Genomic DNA, 24,626 nt, shown 5'->3' on the forward strand with positions numbered 1-24,626 from the left:
GTCACGCAGAGATCAGCCAGAGTCCCCCCCTCCCCCCCAACTCAGCCGCCCCTTGGTGCTCAGCCAGCCGGGCCCCACAACACCAGAGTCTGAGCGGCCTCAGGTTGCTCCCGGGATCCCCCGGCTCTCCAGAACAGAGAAGCTTGTTCTCCGGTTCTCATTTCCGTGGGCTGGGGGAGCTTGACCAGCTGGGCCCCAGACTGAGCCCTTGGGCCCCAGGAGCCACCCCGTCAGCCCAGGATGGAGAGTCCAGACCAGGGTCAGCTGAACTCAGACTCCACAGCGTCCCCACAGGCCCTACTTTCACAGCCCAGAACCCCCTCCCTTGGAAGGGGTGCAGCCCGCACGTGTGCTCACGGAGCAGAGTGCTGAGTGCTAGGTGGACAGGGCTGTACCCCTGGAGAGCCCCTGGAACGGGGGCTGCTTGTAGCCAGGCAGGAAAGGCCGGCAGGAAACGCCCCCCGCCCTACTGGTCCCAGCTGTTTGCAGGCCTCAGGCCGACCCCAGCCAGCCAGCCGGGGCTTCCTGCCCTGGGCTGAGAGTGTGTTGTTGGAGGCGGGGTCTCAGCCAGTGGCACTGCCCCCTTAACTCACCTCACGCCGACAGCTGCCCCTATGGCACCATGTACCTCTCACCACCCGCGGACACCAGCTGGAGAAGGTCAGTGGCTGGACACCCCCCCCCCGCCCCCTTCTTGTTGGAAACAAAACCAAACTCTCATCATGGTTACATGTGGAAAAGCAGGACACAGTCGCTTAAACAATGACCAAACTAAGATGCATCCAGAAGTTTCTAGAAATTAGCCTTCACCCTGAAACACAGGAGTTCCAGCTTTGGGAGGTCTTCTAACATTTCCCTTCCCCCCACTTATGACAAAAAAAAAGACAAAAACAAAAGTGGGACCAGGAGTGGTGGCTCAGGCCTGTAATCTCAGCACTTTGGGGGGCCGAGGCAGGCGGATCACTTGAGGTCAGGAGTTTGAGACCAGCCTGGCCAACATGGTGAAACCCCGTCTCTACTAAAAATACAAAAATTTGCCAGCATGGTGGCGCATGCCTGTAATCCCCAGCTACTCAGGAGGCTGAGGCGGGATAATTGAACCCGGGAGGCGGAGGTTGCGGTGAGCCAAGATCGAGCCACTGCACTCCAGCCTGGGTGACAGAGTGAGACTCCATCGCAAGAAAAAGAAAGTGGGACGATACCGCATATTCAGCACTGTAGCTTGCTCTTTCCTATTTAATGCTGTATTCAGAGCAGGTACCCATGTTACTCAACAGCCATTAAAAATGTGATGATAAAATTATATTAACACATTTAGGATGGAAGATTAGGAAAAATACAGGCCAGGCACAGTGGCTCACGCCTGTAATCCCAGCACTTTTGGAGACCAACGCAGGCGATCAGTTGAACCCAGGAGTTGAAGACCAGCCTGAACAACATAGAAAGATCCCATCTTTACAAAAAATGAGAGAATTAGCCAGATGTAGTAGTGCACGCCTGTACTCCCAGCTACTCGGGAGGCTGAGGTGGGAGAATTGCTTGAGCCCAGGAGGTCAAGGCTGCAGTGAGCTGTAATCATGCCACTACAGTCCAGCCTGGGCCACAGAGCGAGACCCTGTCTCCAAGGCCTAAAATAACAATAATATAGTTAATATAAAAACATACAATAATATAGATCATGGTTGTACAACAATGTGAATGTACTTAATGTCACAGAACTATACACTCAAAAACAGTTAAAACTATACATATATACACACATATTTACATACATATGTATACAAACGTGTGTGTGTATATAATTTTTTTTCTGAGACATGGTCACACTCTGTTACTGAGGCTGGAGTGCAATGGCGCGATCACAGGTCACTGCAGCCTCGACTTCCCAGACTGAATCGTCCCACCTCTGCTTCCAGCTGATTTTTTTTTTTTTTTTTTTTTTTTTGGAGAGACAAGATCTTGCCACGTTACCCAGGCTGGTCTCAAACTCCTGGGCCCAAGTGATCCACCCATCTCGGCCTCCCAAAGTGCTGGGATTACAGGACATGAGCCACTGTGCCTGGCTGTTATATATATTTTACTACAATAGAAATATATATAACAGGCACAGTGGCTCACACCTGTAATCCCAGCACTTTGGGAGGCCGAGGCGGGTGGATCACTAGAGCTTGGGAGGTTGAGGATGCAGTGAGCTATGATCATGCCACTGTACACCAGCCTGGGGGGCAGAGTGAGACCCTGTCTCAAAAAAAAAAAAAGAAAAACCATATACATACATACACACGCACACACACCACACACATACACACACATGTTAGTAAACGGAAGAAAAGTAAGCAAGCTGTTCAAAATATATATGTATACTACAATATTAAATTCTCACCAAGCCCGTATCATAGGTCAGGCCCTGTTCCCACCATCACATTCATTAACTTATATAAAATGAATGGAGCTTTATGGAGTGGGCAGTGTGTTCATCTCCATTGTAGTCCGTGTTAGACATGAGGAAATTGAGCACAGAGAGGTCAAAACACTTGCTCAGAGACACATAGCTGGTGGTGGCTGTACCCACATTTTGCCTGGCAGCCAAGGAGGCTTTCTGGGGACCCACTCTTGAGGCACCTGCAGCCAGGAGCAGATTGGGTGGCCTTGTGCTTTCTCCCCATCAGTTCCTAGAGGGAAATGCGGTCCCTGGAGGTAGAGGGAAGAGCCTCTCCTGGGCTAGTTGAAGCAAGACCTCCTGCCTCAGGTTGGCTTCCCAACCACGGGGGCCTCTAAGTGGCTTCATTCCTTCCGGGGCCTTCTCCTAGCCCATTCCACCTGTCACACTGGGTTTGTGTGACACTGAGCATCCTAGAGGGCACAGTCACCTGATTGTGTTTGTCACCAAGAGGGGACCTGGTGACAGACTGGAGGCTCATACCCCAAGGCTGGGCACCTGTGGGGCTCCTTCTTTGGGAGGTTTCAGCAGGAGGGCACTGTCCTTTCCCCAAAGCCAAGAAGCCTTGCTCTGTTGCCCAGGTTGGTCTTGAATTCCTGGGCTCAAGTGATCCTCTCACCTCAGCCTCCTGTGTCGCTGGGACCACAGGCGTGCGCCACCTCGCGCGGCTGCTTTTTGTTTTTCACGAGCTTTGCAGATGAACACCGCAGTCACTCTGGTGGCTCTTTTTAGAATGAGGTCCCGAGAGCTTTGCTCAGGTGCAGCAGCTCACAAAAATGATCCACAGCTGCCACCCTGTCCATCCAGCGTGTCCCAGCTGGGATCAGGACTATCGCATTGTCTGCCTTGGGCTGAGGCTCATTGTCTCTTCCTCCCTCCCCACCAGGACCAATTCTGACTCCGCCCTGCACCAGAGCACAATGACGCCCACGCAGCCAGAATCCTTTAGCAGTGGGTCCCAGGACGTGCACCAGAAAAGAGGTATGGACAGGGGACTCGGGTGTCTCTGCTGGGGTGAGGCAAGTCCAGCAGGTAACCCCTGTTCTCCAGGAGGTCACAAGCTTGTGGGCAGATGGCTCTTCAAAGGAAGACTCAGACCATGCTGAGGGATCGGGGGAGGGGATCGGAAACTTTCAGAGGTGGTGCTACTTAAGTTGGATTTTGAAGAGTGCATAGGAGTTTTCTAGGCAGAGAAAACAACCCTGCAGGCGCACGTTGGCTCCCATTCCTGGATTGAGGGCGTGGCCATGAAGTCTGGGTGCTGCACAGATGCTGGTTTCAAATGTAGCGGCAGCAAGCCCACGCAAAGGAGCATTTGTCAGCTCATGACAGAGCAGGCCAGGGGTCGACTTCTAGCCACAGGTTCAGCTCCTTCCACTGCTTCCCACTGGACTGTTTCCTGGCTCTGCTGCTGAGAACTCTCCTCGCCTGCAGCCCCTGGGCCCGTCCTAGCTATAGCGAGTGAGAAAGAGGCCATCTCTTCCCAACTCTTGGCCAGAGTGTCGCCTCCAGCTGAGCCATGCACACCCCTGTGGCGGGGACAGATCTGTACCCAGGTCCTTGGCTCCAATTTGAAGCCGGGCGTGGAGGCGGCACCCTGGGAACCTTCAAGGAGGGCATATGCTGTCTTAAAAACTGGGGCGGTGCCATCAGAGAAGGGAGCTTGGAGGCTTGAGGCCAGCCCCAGGGAACCTGGTGTGGCCCAAGGCACTGAAGCCAGGGAGTTGCACGTGCTTAGGGCTCACATACCTATGCTTGTATTGCTGCCGTTCACCGAGTGGGTGGTTAACACGCAAGGGAGATTCTGCTGATAGGAGGAGGAAGAGGAGGAGGAGGAGGACTGTTGGCCAGAACCTCACTCCGGGGTTCCGGCTCAGCGTGCAGCAGAGACGGGAGGGAGAAGAGAATGTCTCCATAATGAAAATGAGGCTTCTGGAACACCCAGGGGTGCTGAGGATAGCACAGTGCCTGGGGCTTCCCTGCTATTCCTAATGAGCAGGCTGTTCTGAGGCTGCTGCCTGTCCTACTAGGTCCCCACAGACAGCACGTCCGAGGGGTGGGCAACAGGATGTCACCATCCCCTGGAACACTGTAACCTGGGAAAGGAGCTGTGACATGGGACCCCTGGTGGCCTTGGAGTGGGGGCCTGGCAGGGACACATCATCTATCCCCACTCTCCTCGGAGCGCCTGAGGTGGTGACAGGGCTGGGGTTGGCCTGGCTGCCTCCTCGCAGCCTGGCTTTCAACAAGGAAGGGGTTGGCCTATCTGGCTGTGCTCATCGTGGGTCTCCCAGTTACAAGTAAAAAAAATGAAATGTGCAACAGGCATAAAGAAAATGGGGAAATGGGCTGGGTGTGGTGGCTCACGCCTGCAATCCCAGCACTTTGGGAGGCCGAGGTGGGTGGATCACAAGGCCAGGAGTTTGAGACCAGCCTGGGCAACATAGTGAGACTCTGTCTCTACCAAAAATACAAAAAAATTAACTGGGAGTGTTTGCACGTGCCTGTGGTACCAGCCACTCGGGAGGCTGAGGCAGGAGGGGGAATTGTTTGAGCCTGGGAGGTGGAAGTTGCAGTGAGCCAAGATCACGCCACTGCACTCCAGCCTGGGTGACAAAGTGAAACCCTATCTCAAAAGAAAAAAGAAAATGGGGAAATGTTTACTCTTACCTTGACTGAAAGATCCAAGGAAAGGCACTTTCAGGCCCGGCTGGTTCCAGAGCCTCAATTGATGCCCATCCATCCCGTCGCTCAGACTCTCCCTCTCCTCTTCTTGCTCTGGGGCTGGCTGACATTGTGGCTGACTCACGGGGCCGCTGCTGCCATGAGTGCACTGGTCCCACCTCCATCAGCATTGAGTGACATGATCTGAACCCCTGTGCTTGGTGCCGGGGGCTCAATAAAGGTTCAGCCACTGGGTGTCAGCAGCCCAGAGCAGGAAGCAAGATCAAGTGGTGGATGCGGAACAGAACATGCAAGCTAGGGCCAGGCGCGGTGGGTCATGCCTGGAATCCCAACACTTCGGGAGAGAGGCTGAGGTGGGCAGATTGCTTGAGATCAAGAGTTTGAGACCAGCCTGGCCAACATGGAGAAACCCCATCTCTACTAAAAATATAAAAATTAGCTGGGCTTGGTGGCACATGCCTATAATCTGAGGCTGAGGCAGGAGAATCTCTTGAACCCAGTAGGCGCAGGTTGCAGTGAGCCAAGGTGCCACTGCACTCCAGCCTGGGTGGGAGAGCAAGACTGTCTCAAAAAAAAAAAAAAAAAGAAAGAAAGAAAAATATACACACAAGCTAGGCAGCTGCTCTTGGGAGAGATTCTTGGCTGTTCTCTGTAGCCTGACGCCTCTGAGGCCCACGTTGGTTCAGCCTCTTCTGTGGGAAGCAGAATCCACACATCCTCAGGCTCCAGAGCTGCTGTTTTATATTATTTTATTTTAGAGACAGGGTCTTGCTCTGTCACACAGGCTGGAGCGCCATGGCATGATCACAACTCGCTGCAGCCTCTACCTCTCAGGCTCAAGCGAGCCCTCCACCTCAGCCTCTCGCATAGCTGGGACTACAGGTGAGCACCACCACACCCGGCCAACTTTCTTATTTTTTGTAGAGGTGAGGTTTTGCCATGTTGCCCAGGGCAGTCTCAAACTCCTGAGCTCAAGTAATCTGCCTGCCTCGGCCTCCCAAAGTGCTGTAATTACAGGTGTGAGCCACTGTGTCCAGCCTTGTTTCTCTTTGTCTCTCTTTCTTTCTTTTTTTTTTTTTGAAACAGAGTTTCACTCTGTCGCCCAGACTGGAGTGCAATGGCGTGATGTCAGCTCACTGCAACCTCTGCCTCCCCGGTTCAAGCAATTCTGCCTCAGCCTCCCAAGTAGCTGGGATTACGAGTCCTGACCCCTATGCCCGGCCAATTTTTGTATTTTTAGTAGAGACAGGATTTCGCCACGTTGGCCAGGCTGGTCTCAAACTCCTAACCTCGGGCGATCTGCCCACCTCAGCCTCCCAAAGTGCTGGGATTACAGGCGTGAGCCACCACGCCCAGCCTATTTTTTCTTAAGTCACAGATTCTCTGACTTATTTAAAGCTGATAGGCGGGGCACGGTGGCGCACACCTGTAATCCCAGCACTTTGGGAGGCCAAGGCGGGCGGATCATGAGGTCAGGAGATCGAGACCATCCTGGCTAACACAGTGAAACCCCGTCTCTACTAAAAATAAAAAAAATAAAAAAAAAATTAGCCTGGCATCGTGGCGGGCACCTGTAGTCCCAGCTACTTGGGAGGCTGAGGCAGGAGAATGGCGTGAACCCGGGAGGTGGAGCTTGCAGTGAGCTGAGATTGTGCCACTGCACTCCAGCCTGGGCGACAGAGCGAGACTCCGTCTCTAAATAAATAAATAAATAAATAAATAAATAAATAAAGTTGTTGTTGTTTGTCATGAAGCCCTTTTTTGTGGTTTTAGTACAGTCCACAGAAGTTCCCGTTAGGACAGTTGCAGTCTTACCATGGCCATGACTCCGTGTGTCAGGGACGTGTCCTCCTGGTACCACCATGCGGCTGCAAAGAAATTTCTTCTCTGATTCTCCTTCTCCCCCTCCCACCTCCCCAGTCTTACTGTTAACAGTCCCAGGAATGGAAGAGACCACATCAGAGGCAGACAAAAACCTTTCCAAGCAAGCATGGGACACCAAGAAGGTAAGAGCCTATGAGCTTTCAAAAACTTTTTTTCTTCTTTCTCTTCTCAAGCATCACCTGGGCAAAGGTGACAAAATGGCAGGTTGGGGTGGCTTCACCTTCCCAAGACAGGGAACCTCACTCCGATTTTTCCATCTTCAAATTCAGAGAATCTGTTAGGTCTGTTGATCACTAAGATCACTAACAGCAGGCCTTATCCAACAGGCCGGAACTGCACAAAAATTACAACCCAGGCTGGGTGCGGTGGCTCACACCTGTAATCCCAGTACTTTGGGAGGCCGAGGCAGGCGGATTGCCAGAGGTCAGGAGTTCAAGACCAGCCTGGCCAACATGGTGAAACCCTGTCTCTACTAAAAATACAAAAAATTAGCTGGGTATGGTAGTGCACGCCTGTAATCCCAGCTACTTGGGAGACTGAGGTGGGAGAATCGTTTGAAACCTGGAGGCAGAGGTTGCACTGAGCCGAGATTGTGCCATTGCACTCCCGCCTGGGCAACAGAGCAAGACTCCATCTCAAAAAAAAAAAAAAAAAAGAATTAAAACCCGTTGCTGGTCAAGTTGCACTGAAAGGGACAGCAATGCAAATTACTCCTCCCCTATGGGAAAGTGAGGCACCAGCCTGTGCCAAAATCCTTTCAAAAGGGTTTGCTCCAGGCTGTGCATGGCTCACGCCTGTCATCCCAGCACTTTCGGAGGAGGCTGAGGTGGGAGGATTACTTGAGCTCAGGAGTTTGGGAGCAGCCTGGTCAACAAAGTGAGACCCTGCCTCTACAAAAAATGAGCCAGGGGTGGTGATGTGTACCTGTACTCTGAGCTACTCAGGAGGGTGAGGCGGGAGTATCACTTGAGCCCAGGAGGTCAAGACTGCAGTGAGCTATGACTATACCATTGCACTCCACCCTGGACAATAGAGCAAGACCCCTTCTGGTGGGGAAAAAAAAATATTTGCTCCAATAATTTCTTCTTCAGGAATTCAATCATTGAGAGTTGAGGAATGAATAAGGAACAATGTGTTTTTTAAAGGTATTTTCCAGAGCTTTTGCAATAAACTAGAAACAGCCTGCACATTTCAGGAGTAAGGAATTTGTTGAGGAAATAGTCTTCAGTCCCTCGAGGAGATAAGATTCTGAAGAAATTTTAAACTCATGAGAGACACTCCTGATACTATTGTCATGTGGACAGAGTAGGATAAGAATATTGGAAAAGGCATAAAACTTGCAGAGATGCAGCTGCACAGATACCAGCAGGCAGACCTGACTGAGGGGCGTCTCACAAGGGTTGTGCGTTTTCTGTCGTGGTGAGTGTGGGTGGTGCTGTCAGCCCTTTATATCCATCTGTGTATTTCTTTTTCTTTTCTTTTATTTTTATTTTTAAATTTTATTATATTTATTTTAATTATTTTTATTTTATTTTTTTGAGAAAGAGTCTCACTCTGTTGCCCAGGCTGGAGTGCAGTGGTGTGATCTCGGCTCACTGCAACCTCTGCCTCCCGGGTTCAAGCGAAGTGATTCTCCTGCCTCAGCCTCCCGAGTAGTTGGGGTCACAGGCGTGTGCCACCACACCTGGCTAATTTTTGTATTTTTGGTAGAAACAGGGTTTCACCATGTTGGCCAGGCTGGTCTCAAACTCCTGACCTCAAGTGATCTGCCCGCCTTGGCCTCCCAAAGTGCTGGGATGACAGGCTCTTTTTTTTAGAAATAGGGTCTCTCTTATGCCTAGGCAAGAGTGCAGTGGTGCCACCCTAGCTCACTGCAGCCTTGGAGTCCTGGACTTAAACAGTCCTCTGCCTCAGCTTCCAGAGTAGCTGGGACTACAGGTGCATGCCACCATGCCTGACAAATTTTTGTATTTTTTGTTTTTTTGAGGCAGGATCTTGCTCTGTTGCCCATGCTGGAGTGCAATGGTAGGAACACGGTTCACTGCAGCCTCAACCTCCCGGGCTCAGGCGATCCTCCTGCCTCAGCCTCCTGTGATGCTGGGACTATAGGAGCGTGCCACCAAACCTGGCTTTTTTTTTTTTTTTTTTTTTTTTTCTGAGATGGAGTTTCACTCTTTCGCCCAGGCTGGAGTGCAGTGGCGCAATCTGGGCTCACTGCAACCTCCGTCCCCCAGGTTCAAGTGATTCTTCTGCCTCAGCCTCCCGAGTAGCTGGGATTACAGGTGTGAGCTACCGTGCCCGGCCAATTTTTAAATCATTTATAGAGACAGGAGCTTACTTCGTTGCCCAGGCTGGTCTCGAACTCCTGGGCTCAAGCAGTCCTCTGCCTCAGCCTCCCAAAGTGCTGAGATTACAGGCATGAGCCACCTCGCCTGGCCTATTTTTTAATTTTTGTTAAAGACGGGGGTCTCACTATGTTGCCCAGGTTAGTCTCAAACTCCTGGGCTCGGTCTCTGTGTTTCAGTTTGGCACAAAGAGTCACTGAGATTTCCACTCTTACGGGAAAAAAACTTTAAAAAAGAACCCTAGGCCAGGTGCAGTGGCTTACGCCTGTAATCCCAGCACTTTGGGAGGCCGAGGCTGGTGGATCACCTGAGGTCAGGGGTTTGACACCAGCCTCGACAACATGGTAAAATCCCGTTTCTACTAAATACAAAAAATTAGCCAGGTGTGGTGGCACTTGCCTGTAATCTCAGCTACTTGGGAGGTTGGGACAGGAGAATTGCTTGAACCCGGGAGGCAGAGGTTGCAGTGAGCTGAGACTGCGCCACTGCACTCCAGCCTGGGCACCAAGAGCGAAAACTCCATCTCAAAAAAAAAAAAAAAAAAAAACTCTAGGCTGGACGGACACAGTGGCTCGTGCCTGTAATCTCAACACTTTGGGAGGCTGAGGTGGGAGGATTGCTTGAGCCCAAGAGTTTGAGACCAGCGTGGGCAACATACTGAGACCTGGTCTCTGCAAAACATTTTAAAACAGTTAGCTAGTGTGATATGTGTGTGTGCCTGCTACTTGGGAGGCAGGAGGATCACTTGAGCCCAGGAGCCCAGGAGTTCAAGTCCAGCCTGGGCAACAGAGCAAGACCCTGTCTCTAAAAAAAAAAAAATTCTAACAACAAACAAAACAAGAAAACAAATGTCCAGCAGCAGAGAGGTGGGTAAGTAGGCCACGGTCCACCCACACAGCTGGATGTTCTGCCGTTACTCAAGAAAAGGAAGATGGCGACAGTCACCTTGCAGAGGGAGACACACCCCGATAGTGGAGTGGGGTGGTGGGTGAATTTTTAATACTGCTCAGAAATCCATTAATGTCTCCATAATGTTGGTGGAATGCTTTTCAAAGTATTCTTGAGAACGTGATCGCCGGTGTGCTTTGCAGAAATCCGGTAATGAAGCGAATGTTTACTCTCAGAATGAAGGAGGCTCTGGCCAAGCAGAAACCCATTCAGCCGGCGTTCTCCACAGAGGCTTAACACCCGCCGGTCGCACGCCACCCCTCGGGCACCCCAGTGGCTGCGGGTTGGGCATTGCCCCCTCACGGTGTGTGCATTTTGAGGCCAGCCCCACCCTCTGCCAGCATGTTCGCCTTTTTCATCTGATAATCCTGAAAGAACTCAGCCAGAAGTGTTTGCCCCAGGGCCCCAGGGGCGGAAACGTGTCACACTGGGAGGCCTCATCCATGGCTGGGGTTCTGTCTGGTCATGCCTGCCAAGAGCAGAAGACGGTCCTGCCTTTGTCCTTGAACAGGAGTCTCGGGGGCCCCTACCTGGAGCCTGTAGTTCCCCAGGGCCTGCAGTGATCCCATGTCTTGGCTGGTGTTAGTGCCCCCAACTCACAGGGGAGGAAACATTGGTCCTCCAGGAAGGTTTTCCTGGGCACCCCCTCCCCAGGGCCAACTCACCGGCCTCTGTCTGTGAGCGGTGGGGGCTTGGAGGCTGCCCTGCTACCCTACGGTGTCCTCACAGCCAGAGCCAGACCCCACCCTGCCTCAGAAGCCCTTGGAGGTACCCGGCAGGTCTTTCTGCTGGGATTATGATTTTCTTTCCCATTGCTGTGAAAGTCCATACTTCAGTCCGGGTGCCATGGCTCACGCCTGTAATCCCAACACTTTGGGAGGCTGAGGCAGGAGGATCACTGGAGCCTAGGAGTTTGAGGCCAGCCTGGACAACACGGTGAGCCTCATCTCTTAAAAAAAAATTAAAAAATAAAAATTAGGCTGGGTGCAGTGGCTCACGCCTGTAATCCCAGCACTTTGGGAGGCTGAGGTGGACAGATCATGAGGTCAGGAGATCGAGACCATCCTGGCTAACATGGTGAAACCCCGTCTCTACTAAAAATACAAAAAAAATTAGCCGGGCGTGGTGGCGGGTGCCTGTAGTCCCAGCTACTCGGGAGGCTGAGGCAGGAGAAAGGCGTGAACCTGGGAGGTGGAGCTTGCAGTGAGCCGAGATCGTGCCACTGCACTCCAGCCTGGGCGACAGAGCCAGACTCTGTCTCAAAAAATTAAATAAAAATAAAAAATTAAAACTAAAATTAAACATTTTTTTAAAAGGCGGAAGAGGCCAGGCACCGTGGCTCATGCCTGTAATCCCAGCACTTTGGGGGCCGAGGTGGGCGGATCATGAGGTCAGGAGATGGAGACCCTCCTGGCTAACACGGTGAAACCCCGTCTCTACTAAAAATACAAAAATTAGCCGGGCTTGGTGGCGGGCACCTGTAGTCCCAGCTACGCGAGACACTGAGGCAGGAGAATGGGGTGAACCCGGGAGGCGGAGCTTGCAGTGAGCTGAGATCGTGCCACTGCACTCCAGCCTGAGAGACAGAGTGAGACTCCGTCTCTAAAAAAAAAAAAAAAGAAAGAAAAAAAAGGCAGAGGAGCCCTTCCCGAGACCCTGAACTTCAAAGGCTCTGTGGGCCACAGTCCAAGAGGAGCCTATTGTGGGCCCTTTCCATACACCATGTCCATGTCCCGAAAGTGTCCTGACAGTGCTCCTCAGCCAAGCAGAAAAACCAGTGTCATGCTGAGGGCTACCCAAGCCCTAGTCAGTGGGGGATGAGTGTGGCTGCCCACATAGCAGAGGGACGTCTCGGGACTCTCAGGAAGTAGCAGACCCTGAGGGTCCCCGGGGAAGTCACATGTCTAGGTCTCTGCTGCAAAGCTGGTCAGCCCCAAGACAGGGGCAGTGACCTCTGAACTGAGTTTAGGGCATCAGGTCCAAGCTTCCTGGGTCTCCCCTGACTCAGTTCTTCCCTCCTTTGGGCCTTGGGCTTGATTCACTCCCTGGAGACTGGTGGCTGCTCACAAACTTGCCTGGTGGGCACTGGACAGAGGCAACTCCTGCCCCCGGAACCCCTGCCACCATGATCTGGGAACAGCATGGATGGTTGGGGACAGCTCTAGGGACACTTAGCCTCGGGTACCAGGGCTTAGGGCGGCCAGCTTAGCAGAGGCCCCTCTACTGTGCTGGCTGCTGACTGCTGTGGTACAGCGTTGGGAGTGTCAAGAGGCGCTTTACACAAAATTTAAAAAGCAGCCGGGCGCAGTGCAGTGACGCGTGCCTATGGTCCCAGCCACTCGGGAGGCTGAGGCGGGAAGATCATGAGCTCAGGAGGTTGAGGCTGCGGCGAGCTGTGATCACACCACTGCACTCTAGCCTGGGTGACAAAGTGAGATCCTGTCTCTATGAAATAGAATAAAAATTTAAAAAGATCCACATGCCATGTTCTCCCCAGACTCCTCTGAAAAGAGACTGCCCACTGAGGGCAGGAGCAGGGGGAGGGGACCCATAGGGAGACCCTCTCTGTGCAACTCTTGGCTTCGCGCTGGGCATGTCTGGGGCCCGCCCCTCCACCCTGGGGCGGTGCCCCTGTCCTCCATCTGTGGGGCTCTGCGGCCCCAGCAAGCTTGGTTCTCATGATGCATCTCTGGGCTTTGTGGGAAGATCAGCCGTTTCAAGGAGGCCCAGTGCCCAGGAGGAGGGCCCCACAGGGTGTGCCCCAGGGCTCAGGCTCTCCTGTCTTCTCTTTCAGACGGGGTCCAGGCCCAAGTCCTGTGAGGTCCCCGGAATCAAGTAAGTCTCCACAGGGCCCACCCCGCACACTGCATCTGCTGCGCTGCTCCGTCCACCCTGGGGCATTCTGTCCACTCTCTTGAGGTTGCAAGTCCCTGCAAGAGGGACACTGTGTGACCAGAGGCCAGTGACAGAGCCCCCACATGCCCACCCCTCAGGCACCTCATTCCCAGGGATGATGCCCTCTCCTGGGTTCAGGGAGGTTGCTGCCCCCAGGCCCCCCACCGTCCTCACCGGGTGATAGGCTGCTTTCCAAGGTCTCAGCCTGGTGCCAGCCAACAGTGGTTTCCCAAGCACACGGCACCTGATGGGGGGTGGCCTTTTGCACCCGCTGATTTTCTCCCGCCAGCCCCCTGTCCCCGCCGCCAGCCCCGCCCCATGAGCTCACCTCCTGCCTGCCTCTGGCCTTTTCCCAGCATCTTCCCGTCTGCCGACCAGGAAAACACTACAGCCCTGATCCCCGCCACCCACAACACAGGGGGGTCCCTGCCCGACCTGACCAACATCCACTTCCCCTCCCCGCTCCCGACCCCGCTGGACCCCGAGGAGCCCACCTTCCCTGCACTGAGCAGCTCCAGCAGCACCGGCAACCTCGCGGCCAACCTGACGCACCTGGGCATCGGTGGCGCCGGCCAGGGTAAGGCAGGGACACTCCGCCCTCGGACAGAGCACTGGCTTGTGGAGACAACACGGGCATCTGCAGGATGACTTGGCAGAGTCCCGTTCCAAATACTAGGGCATGGGGGACAGGGCTGGGGGGCGGCCGACAGGCTGACCCAGCGGGCACAGGCATCCCAGGTAGGGGTGGGGCCTGGGTACAGGCCTGGTGGAAAGGAGTGCCTGGTGCCCCCAGACACCAGACAGTGGGTTTGAGGGTGTGTGATGGTGCTTTGGGGAGTCCAGGAGGGAAGCCCTGGGAGTTTTAACGCAGCTGGGGTGGGCCAGGCCTTCCCTCCGCCCCTCCTCGACCCCAGCCCCTCATTGGGGGGCGGGACCAGGCCTGACCTGCTTCCTCCACCCGACATCTGACAGTGACCACCTACTTGTCACATCCCAGCACCACCACCCCCACCCGTCTCCAGCTCCACACTCCTTTCTTCCTCAGCCACATCCACAGGGACGTCGCACAGGCCCCTCGCCCGTCCCAATAGCTCCTGGCGCTGCTGCCGCCCTGCTCCCCCGGGACCCCCCTCCTGTGGCTGCACTGATTGCAGAGGTGTCCCCCAACTCCTCTGTCCTTTCCCAGACATGGACCTGACCCATTGTCAGCGTGTCCTGTCGGTTCCGCCCTCAGGACCTGGCCTGACCTGGCTCCTCTCCCCAGGCCCCCAGCCCCCTCCCCACCTAGAACAGCCACCAGCCATGGCTTCCTCCACTTGGGACCTCGCACGGCCCCCAGCTCCCTCTCAGTGAAAGCCTGAGGCCTCCAGGGTCTGGGATGTCCACCCTGGCCCACCCTCCACCCTCTGAACTTAGCCCCAGTCCCACCTCAGGGCCTCTGCACATGTAGTCCTTCCTCTCCAGGAGGCTGCAGGCCTCCCTCCCTCCCCTGCCCTGCCCTGCCCTGGTCAGAGCTAGTCCCCTTGGCAAGGCCGTCCCGGCCCTGGCCTCTACTGCCGCGTTGCTTTCCTGCACCCCTGCCCTGGCCCACGTTGCTGCTCCGTCCTTAGCTGTTGCCTGCGTCCCCATTGGCTGTGCAGTGTGTGACCTGCATCCCGGGGGTGGCAGGCACCTGGCTTCCAAGGAGGAGAAATGGCGTGGCCCCAACTAGTCCTGGGGGGTGGGACAGGCTGGAGGGGCTGTGGGGGATGCACTGGGGGTGGGGGTGACAGACGCCACCTTGCTGTGCTCTGTCTTGCCCCAGAGCTGGAGAATGAACCGGCCCCGGCCCACTCCACCAGCCCATCCTGCCTCTGCCCCAGGCTTGGAAGGCAGCACCAGGCAGGGCTTTCTATGAGATAGTCACATGCTTACATTTGTAACTGGCGGAGTCCCCCTGGCTGCCCTGGAAGAAGGAGCTTTTGGGAGGGGCGGCCACTGGAGCAGGACAGCACCCCAATTGGGGGCTCTGCCTGGAGACTCCAGGGTGAAATTGGCCAGCCTGGGAGCTGGGTTGATGCAGGGAGTGAAGGAGAGGGAGGAGCCTGGAGGCGTTCCTGGCTTTGGTGCCAGCAGGGCCAGGGGCAGGCAAGGGGCGTGGAGGGTGGCGTGAATGTTCCTGGGTTTTTTGGAGGAGGGCATGGGGACTAGAATAGTGAAGAGGGAACAGGGCCCCAGCCCGAGCGCATTGAGGCTGCATTCTGACTCCCACACCTGGGCCCTGGGCCCTGGGCCCGCGGGGCTCTGCCACTGGACAGAGGGCACCAGAGAAGGCCCAGAAAACACAGCCGATTCGGAGGAGCCCTCTTCATTGTCTCCAGATAGACAGGGCCAGGCAGGCGGCATCCACACGCACCTGCGCAGAACCAGAAAGCTGAAGGTCAGCGCTGGGGCTGCAGGTACCCCTGCCCCGCATAGAAGCCACCATCTCCCAGCCCCTGCTTTTCCCCTCACATCTCTTCACGGCCACCAGAGCACATGGCCCCCTTCCCGCTGGAGGGTCCTTGGCAGGTCCCCAGCGCCCGCCCGGGAGCTGCGCACCTCCAGCAGGCACCCAGTCTAAACAAGCACAAGGAAACACACAACATACGTGGAAGCTGGAGCCGGCGCTGGCCAGAGCGGCCCGGTAATGCCTGACATGTGTTGGGTTGTTTGTGAACCTGCCGCCCAAGCAGCTCGCCTGGCAGGGGCTTTGCTTTCTGGACGCCTTTTAAATCAAGCCGAGCTGCCGGCCCCTGGCACACACGAAGGTGGCCCCCTCCCTCCTCGCAAGCCCACCCGCCAGTCAGAACGTGAGCTCCCTCAGGAAGGAAGACAGAGGCCTTCGCGGCCGAGGAGACAGTACCCCGCTTGGCTCCATCTACATTTCCCATATCCCTGGCTGCTTTCCAGAGTGCAGGAGGAGGGCAGGCCCTGGCTCCTCCTTCCTGGCCCAGCTTTGAGGCCGGGCGGGCCCTGACACCTGGCCCGCCCTCCCCTGGCAGCTCTCCCTGCCCGCTCCAGACTTCCCCTCCAGCTGGCTCTGTGCCTGTTCCCAAAGGTGAGCCAGGTTGCCAAAAGGAATTCAACAGCAAGGCTCCCGTCCGCCCTCCTGGGCCAACTGGCCTCTCCAGGGGTGGCCGAGAGCTCACTTTGCAGCCAGTGGAAGATTAAAAACTCCCTTGTATTCAGGGCAGACATTAGAGACTGGCAGCCCAAGGGCCAAATCCAGCCCATGGTATGTTTCGTGTGGGCCCACAGTTGTGCATCTGTAATACAGCCACACGCCACATCTTGACGTTTCTGACAACAGCAAACCACATAATCGGCAGTGGCCCCATCAGAGTATAATGCTGTGTCTTACTGCTCCTTTTCTAGGCTTAGACACACAAGTCCTTACCATTGTGCTACAGTTGCCTACTGTTTTTAATTTTTTTTTTCTTTTTTTTGAGACAAAGTCTCACTCTGTCACCCAGGCTGGAGTGCAGTGGTGTGATCTCGGCTCACTGCAACCTTCGCCTCCCAGTCCCAAGCGATTCTCCTACGTCAACCTCCCGAGTAGCTGGGAGTACAGGCGCCCACCACCACGCCTGGCTAATTTTTGTATTTTTAGTAGATACGGGGTTTCACCACATTGGCCAGGCCAATCTCAAACTCCTGCCCTCAGGTGATCCGCCTGCCTCAGCCTCCCAAAGTGCTGGGATTACAGGCGTGAGCCACTGTGCCTGGCCGACGGTATTCAGGACGGTCACCCTGTACAGGTTTGTAGCCTGGGAACAAGGGCCCTACCGTCTGGCCGAGGTGTGCAGAGGCTCTGCCATCCAGGTTTGTGTAAGTTGCCCTGTGATCCTCATGCACAGCCATGAAATCGCCGGACAACGCGTTTTTTCAGAAGTCACCCCCATTGTTAAGTGATGCTTGACTGTACTTAGAATCAACATTGAAAAACCAGGGGAATGCCCGTAGAACACCAGATTTCTGGCTGCTCTTGAAGAATCAGACAGCCCAGTGGCCATGGCCGATGTCTTGCACCTCGAGACGGGCCACAGTGCTCTGGTTTGCCTCAGGCCCCACCCGCCCCTGTCGTCCCACATCCATACCCTCACACGCTCCTGACGTTTGCCCCTACTTTGTACCGAGCCCGACCTCTGCTTCTGACCTGGGCACTGAGCATCTCTCGGCCTGCTGGACGCACGAAGTGGCGGACACTCAGGAGAAGATGAGGGAGTGGCCCAGGGTCGTGACTCTGAGTGTGCTCTGAGCAGGCTTCCCCCACATCCTCCCGTCCAGGCCTCTGTTGATGCCTCCCTGGACGCCAGGGCCTGCAAAGGGCGCTTGCTGCCTGGGGAGCAGTCAACAGCACCAGGCTTCCTCCCACAGTGCGCAGCCAAGCAGAGCTGCCAGGGCATCCGAGGGGAAGTGCAGGCGTGACCGAGCTCGCCCCGGTGAGCAGCTGCCCTGGGCACGGACAAGGCTGTCATCTCCCCTCGGCGCTTGTCGGGTGTGTTCCCATGGGCCCACGCACCCGCCGTCTCATCTGCCGGAACAAGGTTAATCTGGTGCCCAGATCTCCTGGGGTGAGTCAGGCGGCTTCACCCCCGCCTTGACTGCAGGCCAGATGCTCTTCAGAGACTGCTCCTGACCTCACCAGGGCCTCACTTTGAACCGGAGAGGGCGGCTGTTATCGTCGCCATCTCACCAACCAGGGAACCAAGTCTCCAGAGTGGATGGGGGTCAGGCCAGGCTCGCAGGGGTCCTCCTGCCATCGAGGGGCCTGTTGCCTGCCTGGCATGGTGCCCACAATAACCCAGCCAGCCCCAGCTACTGCCATGTTGAACTTGACCTCACCCAGCTTCATCACTGCAGCAGAATCCAAGGATTGGGTTGCTCAGTGCAAGGGCCTTCGGGGCCGGGGTGAGGGAAGGGGTGATGAGGCGGCTCCTGGCAGGACCTCCAGCAGGAATGATGTGTCAGACCCCAGGGCAGAGAGGGGGAAGGATGTTAAGGAGTGACATTCTTTAGTTCAGACAGCCTGATGGGTGGCACTGCAGCTTGGGGAATGCACCAGGTCTGGGGAGGAGGAAGTGGCTGTGGGACATAGGGGATAGCAGGTGCTCAGGTCTGGGGGCCAAGAGAAGCAGCTGCAGGAATGGGCACATTCACTGAAGGAGGGCAAGATCCACGAGGTGGTGGGCAAAACCACAGCATTGGGCAGGGCCTGCTGGCTTGAAGCTAACCACAACCCAAGCCATTTTCAGCCAAAAAAAACCATTTATTGTCTCCTGAAAGTGGGAAGCAGGCTCAGATGCTGCCTCTCCCCTGCAGCCCTTCAGCTGGCTCCTCACCTCGCCACAGGATGCCCCACACACGGCTTCAGACAGCCCTTCCTGGAATTCCATCCAAAGCCCCTGGGAAGGCTCTCATTGGGCCAGCCTGGTTACATGCCCATCTGGGGGCCAATCTTATGCTCCAGAGATGGGGATGTGCTGGTTGGCTGGCTGTGAGACACCCCCTTCCTGGAAGGAAGGAGAACAGACTCTGCAGGACTGTGGGACCCTCGGGTCAGGAATCAGGGCCTTCGGGGGGTGCCCAGGTTTGGCAGTTGGGACATGTCCATGGGCTTCTGTCTGAGCAGTTGAGCTATTCCCATGCAGTGTGACTGTGGGTGTGTAAGCAGCCCTTTCTCAGTGATCAGTCTCACACCTGCTCTCCCTCCCTCCTACTTCCTCTCTAGGAATGAGCACACCTGGCTCCTCTCCACAGCACCGCCCAGCTGGCGTCAGCCCCCTGTCCCTGAGCACAGAGGCAAGGCGTCAGCAGGCATCGCCCACCCTGTCCCCGCTGTCACCCATCACTCAGGTGCGAGGGCAAGGTGGGGGGCAGGTGGGAGGGGGAAAGGGAAAGGTGGAGGCCTGGCTCTACCTCTTAGAAGGCCTCCTGTTCCTTCCAGGAGGCCACAAAACCTTGAGAATGCTCCCAACACTTTTAGTTTTTATTATCAAATTTTCAAGCCGGGTGCCGTAGCTCATGCCTGTAATCCCAGCACTTTGGGAGGCTGAGGCGGGTGGATCAGTTGAGGTCAGGAGTTCGAGACCAGCCTGGCCAACATGGTGAAACCTCGTCTCTACAAAAAATACAAAAATTAGCTGGGCATGGTGGTGTGCGCCTGTGGTCCCAGCTACTAGGGAGGCTAAGATGAGAGGATCACTTGAGCCCAGGGGGTGGAGGCTGCAGTGAGCCATGATCACACCACTGCACTCTACCCTGGGAGACAGAGTGAGACTCTGTTTCAAAAAAAAAGAAAAAACTCAAGAGGTTAGCTTTTGATTTTTCAATTTGCTGTATTTGCTTGTCTACTTTTTTGGGTAGTTTGTATGTGTCTAGGAATTTGTCCATTTCGTCTTTGCTATCCAACTTGATGGCAGAAAATTTTTCATAATACTCTTTTGTAATCCTTTTTTTTTTTTTTTAAGACGAAGTTTTGCTCTGTAGCCCAGGCTGGAGTGCAGTGGCATGATCTCGGCTCACGGCAACCTTGCTTCCTGGGTTCAAGCCATTCACCTGCCTCAGCCTTCCAAGTAGCTGGGACTACAGGCATGTGCTACCATGCCTGGCTAATTTTTTTTTTTTTTTTTTTTTTGGTATTTTTAGTAGAGATGGGGTTTCACCATGCTGGCCAGGCTGGTCTCGAACTCCTGACTTCAAGTGATCTGCCTCCTTTGGCCTCCAAAAGTGCTGGGATTACAGATGTGAGCCACCGCGCCTGACCGTAATCCCTTTTTTAAAAAAATTTTTGAGACAGAGTCTCGCTCTGTCACCCAGGGTGGAGTGCAGTGGCGTGATCTTGGTTCATTGCAACTCTGCCTCCCAATTTCAAGCAATTCTTGTGCCTCAGCCACCTGAGTAGCTGGGATTACAGGTGACCGCCACCACGCCTGGCTAATTAAAAAAAATAATAATAGAGATGGGGTTTTGCCATGTTGGCCAGGCTGGTCTCGAACTCCTGGCCTCAGGCAATCTGCCCACCTCGGCCTCCCAAAGTGCTGGGACTATAGGCGTGAGCCACCACACCCAGCCTTGTAATCCTTTTTATTTACGTAAAGTTGGTAGCAAAGTTCCCATTTTCATTTTCTGATTTTAGTAATTTGAATCTTCCCTCTTTTTTACCTAATCAATGCAGCTTCATAGAATGAGTTAGGAATGTTCACTTCTCTTCTATTTTTTGGAAGTATTTTTAATTCCTCTTTAAAAGTTTGGTAAAATTAGGCGGGTGTAATGGTAAATTCCTGTAGTCCCAGGTTTGGTAAAATTCACCAGTGCAGCCACCTGTGTCTTAGCTCAAATGTGTTGGGAAGTTTCCAATCTCATCTCCTTCTTATAAGGCTATTCAGGTTTTCTGTTTTTTCTTGAGTCAGTTTTGGTCATTTGTGCATTTCTAGAAATTTATCCATTTTGTCTTTTTAAAAACAAAACAAAAAAACCCTAACAGAGAACTTTGACATTTTTAAAATTTTTTTATTTTTTAATTTTAATTTAATTTTTTTTTTGAGACAGAGTCTCACTCTGTCGCCCAGGCTGGAGTGCAGTGGCGTGCTCTTGGCTCTCCTGCAGCCTCTGCCTCCCAGGTTCAAGCGATTTTCGTGCTAGCCTCCCAAGTAGCTGGGATTACAGGCATGTGCCTACCATGCCCAGCTGAGTTTTGTATTTTTAGTAGAGACAGAGTTTCGTCTTGTTGACCAGGCTGGTCTCAAACTCCCAACCTCAAGTGATCACCCTGTCTCAGCTTTCCGAAGTGCTGGGATTGCAGGTGTGAGCCACCGCGCCCGTCACTTGTTTGTTTTTAATGTAACCACAGTGGCATTGTCCACCTACAACGAAGTTAATGGTAGTTCCTTGGTACCTGGCAATGCCCGGCCCGGACTCCATTTCTCCCCGCCCCTCGGCCCCCATGTCTCCTGTCTGCTTACAAAGGTGTCTTATTCAGATCAAGATCCAGACAGAGCTGTGGGCGCTGGCTCCTGGCAGCTGTGTCTTCAGCCACTTTGTGAGCTAGGCTGTCTTAATCTGACACCTGCCCCTTCCCTCTATCTGGAAACTCCTTTCTCTTCACAAATGACCCACTGGTCCTCAGAGGCCGGGCATCCTGCTAAGTGGTTTTTGTTCCATAGCTCCTGGGCACGCTCAGCCTTTCTTAGAGGGCAGGGACCCCACCTTTCCCAAGGACTGTCAGCTTGGTAGCCCCTGGCTGTGAGTTTCCACACAGACAGTGAACGTCACACACTTCCCTCTTATTGATTTTCCTCTTTCCAGCTCTGCGAAGGCCTGAGCCAGCCCTTGGTGAGGGGCCATGCTGGTATCTCCAGCAACCCCAGCCTCTCCAGCATCCCCAGAGTGGGCAAGGCTTTGGGCGGGGGGGTTTGGGAAGGCAAGGCCAGTGGATCACTTGAGGTTTCCCCGCAGCACCCACAGGGGCTGGGAGCTGGCTGCTCACTGAGCCACCAGGGATGGCCATCCTGGGCTTGCCCTGCAGCTGGTGGACTGGCCTGAGCTGCACGGCATGTAGTGCGGGTGCAGGCACAACAAGCTGGAGGAGGTCAGGTCCTGCCCAGCTCCAGCTGACCCCCTTGGGGCCCTGCGTGAGGCCCACCCTCTCTAGCCTGGGCTCCCTCATCGTGAGGAGCACCCAGCCCAGGGGCTGCCTGTGATCACAGGGCCCTTCCACCTCGCCTGCTGAGCATGCCAGGCTATGGGGGCCCGAGGGGGCCAGGCGCTGACAACCAGGGCCCGCCCTGCCTGACGCTCTCCTCTCCTGCAGGCTGTAGCCATGGACGCCCTGTCTCTGGAGCAGCAGCTGCCCTACGCCTTCTTCACCCAGGCGGGCTCCCAGCAGCCACCGCCGCAGCCCCAGCCCCCGCCGCCTCCTCCACCCGCGTCCCAGCAGCCACCACCCCCGCCACCCCCACAGGCGCCCGTCCGCCTGCCCCCTGGTGGCCCCCTGTTGCCCAGCGCCAGCCTGACTCGTGGGCCACAGCCGCCCCCGCTTGCAGTCACGGTACCGTCCTCTCTCCCCCAGTCCCCCCCAGAGAACCCTGGCCAGCCATCGATGGGGATCGACATCGCCTCGGTAAGCCCAGGGTGGGGTCCCTCGGGGCCTGACTGGGGGTCTTGTAGAGGACAGCCCGGGGGCTGCAGAACAGTCGGGTTACCTGCTGCATGGGCCAGGGGTCAGAACCCCAGCGAACGCTGCCTGGGCCCACCTCTCCACGGGGCTACCCCTTGGAATCAAACTGAGACTGTCACTCCCTGTAGAGATGGAGAAACTGAGGCACGAGCAGGTGGCTGGCCCCAGATTCCACCCAAGGTGGGCCACCCCATGTTTAACTGCCGAGCACCCCTTCTTGGCCTCTCTGGCCCCTCCCACCTGAAGCCAGGCTTCCTAGGAGGCAAGAAGAGTACGGCGTTCTCAGGGCCAGGGCGCAGGCCGGGGGCCGGGGATGACGTGAGCTTATCAGAGAAGGAAAGACGAGGCCAGTCCAAGAGGCGGCAGCCCGTTGGGCACAGCGCCTGGGGCCCAGGGCTGGGGGCTGCAGCTCAGACCATTGGACTTTTCTGCCTAGGGCCGGCTCAGGCAGACAAAGGCTGGGCTTTAACCCTGTACCCACAAACCTTCCTGACTGTCCAGACCACCTGCTTGCTCCAGCGGCGCGGGCTGGGTGGCAAACAGCTGCATTGGGCCACATCCAGGGAAACAGGGACTTGTGTTCCGGGCACAATGAGTCCTCCCACTTGACCCCGACTGCCAGCCCCAGGCTAAATGTCCTCCAAACATTGTGTGCTCTGCAAAGAACAGCCGCCTGAGCTGGGTGGGGCAGGCAGGTGAGCCTGTGGGTAGACACCCATGTTCCCAAGCTGCTCTGACCTCACGGAGGGGACCACCCACGGCCCCTGGGTGGAAGAGTGCCCAAGTCCTTTCTTTGGTGGAAACACAGCAGGTCCTGGGGGAGGCTCCCAAGGTGGGGCCTCGCCTTGGAGCTGGGTGGTTCTTGGAGTCACAGGGTGTCTGGGCCAGGTGCAGGGACGGCCCTTCTAGGGCTCTTGGGTCAGGCTGTCCATGTCCAGCACCCTCACACAACAAAGACGGCTTCCTGCCCCCACTTCAAGGACTTCTAGCCTCCTGGGGTTGAGGGGGGACTCTTGAGTTTTTGCACAGACTCACCCAAATGAGAATCTCCCTCTGATCCCTTTGTCCTTTCCAACTCCAGGAAGGCCCAAGTCAGCCATCCCTAAGTAACAGTGCTGGCACCTCCATCACCCACGCAGGCGAGCTCACCGCCACCCCCCGCCCTACCCCACCCCGCCCCACCTGGACTCAAGCCCTACCCCAAACTGCCCAGAAGGCGCCACCAAGGACATGGGGGAGACAGCAATTATAGGCCCTGGACCGGTCAGGCTGGGCCTCATTCAGTGACTGGCTCAGACAGGTCAGGCAAGTTGTCTGCAGGCACACAGCATGGCTGGGCCGTGCTAGGACAAGAGAGTGGTCTGAATCCGGGGCCTGGCCTGGCCCGACCTGCCTCTGAAAGTTCTGGGTCATAGCAGTGAGATGCCCGGGCCTTTCGTCCCTCGAGCAGGTGGAGGAAGTGACTGCCCCTTGCAGGTCTCAGATGGCATAACCCAGGCAGGTTTGTCCTGCAGCAGGGCAGGGATAGTGACTGCGCCATGCTGGGAGCCTGGGCTACCAGCAAGATGGCCTTCACTCAGTCCCCACCCCCAGAGGTGGGCCAGACCTGCTGGGCTGCAGACTTAGGGGCTTAGAGAGCCAGGGGACCTGCCCAGGGCACACAGTCAGCGAGAGCCGGGAACAGGAGGCAGCCTTGGGTTTTCCCTGCCCATGGCGGTGTGTGTGTGTGGGTTGTGGGTGTGCACAAGTGGGTGGGTGCGGGTGTATGTGGTGTGCACCTGCATGGGTGTGCATGCATGTGAATGTGTGTGCATGTGTGCATGCGTGGGTATGTACATTTGTGGATGTGTGGACATTTGTGGATATGTGGACATTTGTGTGTGGATATGTGTGCTTGTGTGGGTGTGTGCACACGGTGTGTACATTTTGGTGTGTGAATATATGTGTGTGTGGGTGTGTACATGCGTGGGTGTGTCCATGTGGGTGTGGGTGTGCATGTGGGTGTGGGTGTGCATGCGTGGGTGTGTACATTTGTGTGCATGTGTGCATTTGTGGGTATGTACGTTTGTGTGTGGATGTGTGCCTGTGTGTGTGCATTTGTGGGTGTGAGTATGCGTGTGTGTGCATGTGTGGGTGTGCATGCATGGGCATGTACATTCATGTGTGGATATGTGCACATGTGTGGGTGTGCATGTGTGGGTATGTATATTCTAGTGTGGATATGTGTACA

At 55.4% G+C, this 24,626-nt stretch overlaps 1 protein-coding gene across 2 annotated transcripts in view, besides 3 other annotated features; it reads left to right on the top strand.

The window, feature by feature from the left end:
* Window positions 1-24,626, top strand: part of CRTC1 (CREB regulated transcription coactivator 1) — a 98,654-nt gene that overhangs the window by 62,775 nt on the left and 11,253 nt on the right. For both annotated transcript variants that reach the window (NM_001098482.2, NM_015321.3), the window contains 7 exons: window positions 599-660; window positions 3,327-3,421; window positions 7,046-7,131; window positions 13,097-13,137; window positions 13,554-13,774; window positions 18,950-19,074; window positions 22,031-22,339. In NM_001098482.2, the coding sequence (NP_001091952.1) occupies window positions 599-660; window positions 3,327-3,421; window positions 7,046-7,131; window positions 13,097-13,137; window positions 13,554-13,774; window positions 18,950-19,074; window positions 22,031-22,339 (939 nt within the window). The remainder of the gene's footprint in view (window positions 1-598; window positions 661-3,326; window positions 3,422-7,045; window positions 7,132-13,096; window positions 13,138-13,553; window positions 13,775-18,949; window positions 19,075-22,030; window positions 22,340-24,626) is intronic.
* Window positions 2,669-3,652: an enhancer, noted in NCBI's record as "H3K4me1 hESC enhancer chr19:18859933-18860916 (GRCh37/hg19 assembly coordinates)". NCBI's record gives its function as "activates a minimal SCP1, AML or CMV promoter by ChIP-STARR-seq in primed H9 embryonic stem cells {active_cell/tissue: H9 hESC(primed)}" and the evidence as "EXISTENCE:reporter gene assay evidence [ECO:0000049][PMID:30033119]".
* Window positions 21,273-22,150: an enhancer, noted in NCBI's record as "H3K4me1 hESC enhancer chr19:18878537-18879414 (GRCh37/hg19 assembly coordinates)". NCBI's record gives its function as "activates a minimal SCP1, AML or CMV promoter by ChIP-STARR-seq in naive H9 embryonic stem cells {active_cell/tissue: H9 hESC(naive)}" and the evidence as "EXISTENCE:reporter gene assay evidence [ECO:0000049][PMID:30033119]".
* Window positions 22,151-23,027: an enhancer, noted in NCBI's record as "H3K4me1 hESC enhancer chr19:18879415-18880291 (GRCh37/hg19 assembly coordinates)". NCBI's record gives its function as "activates a minimal SCP1, AML or CMV promoter by ChIP-STARR-seq in primed H9 embryonic stem cells {active_cell/tissue: H9 hESC(primed)}" and the evidence as "EXISTENCE:reporter gene assay evidence [ECO:0000049][PMID:30033119]".

The sequence above is a fragment of the Homo sapiens genome, chromosome 19 (genome assembly GCF_000001405.40).
Source record: "Homo sapiens chromosome 19, GRCh38.p14 Primary Assembly".
Lineage (NCBI taxonomy): Eukaryota > Metazoa > Chordata > Mammalia > Primates > Hominidae > Homo > Homo sapiens.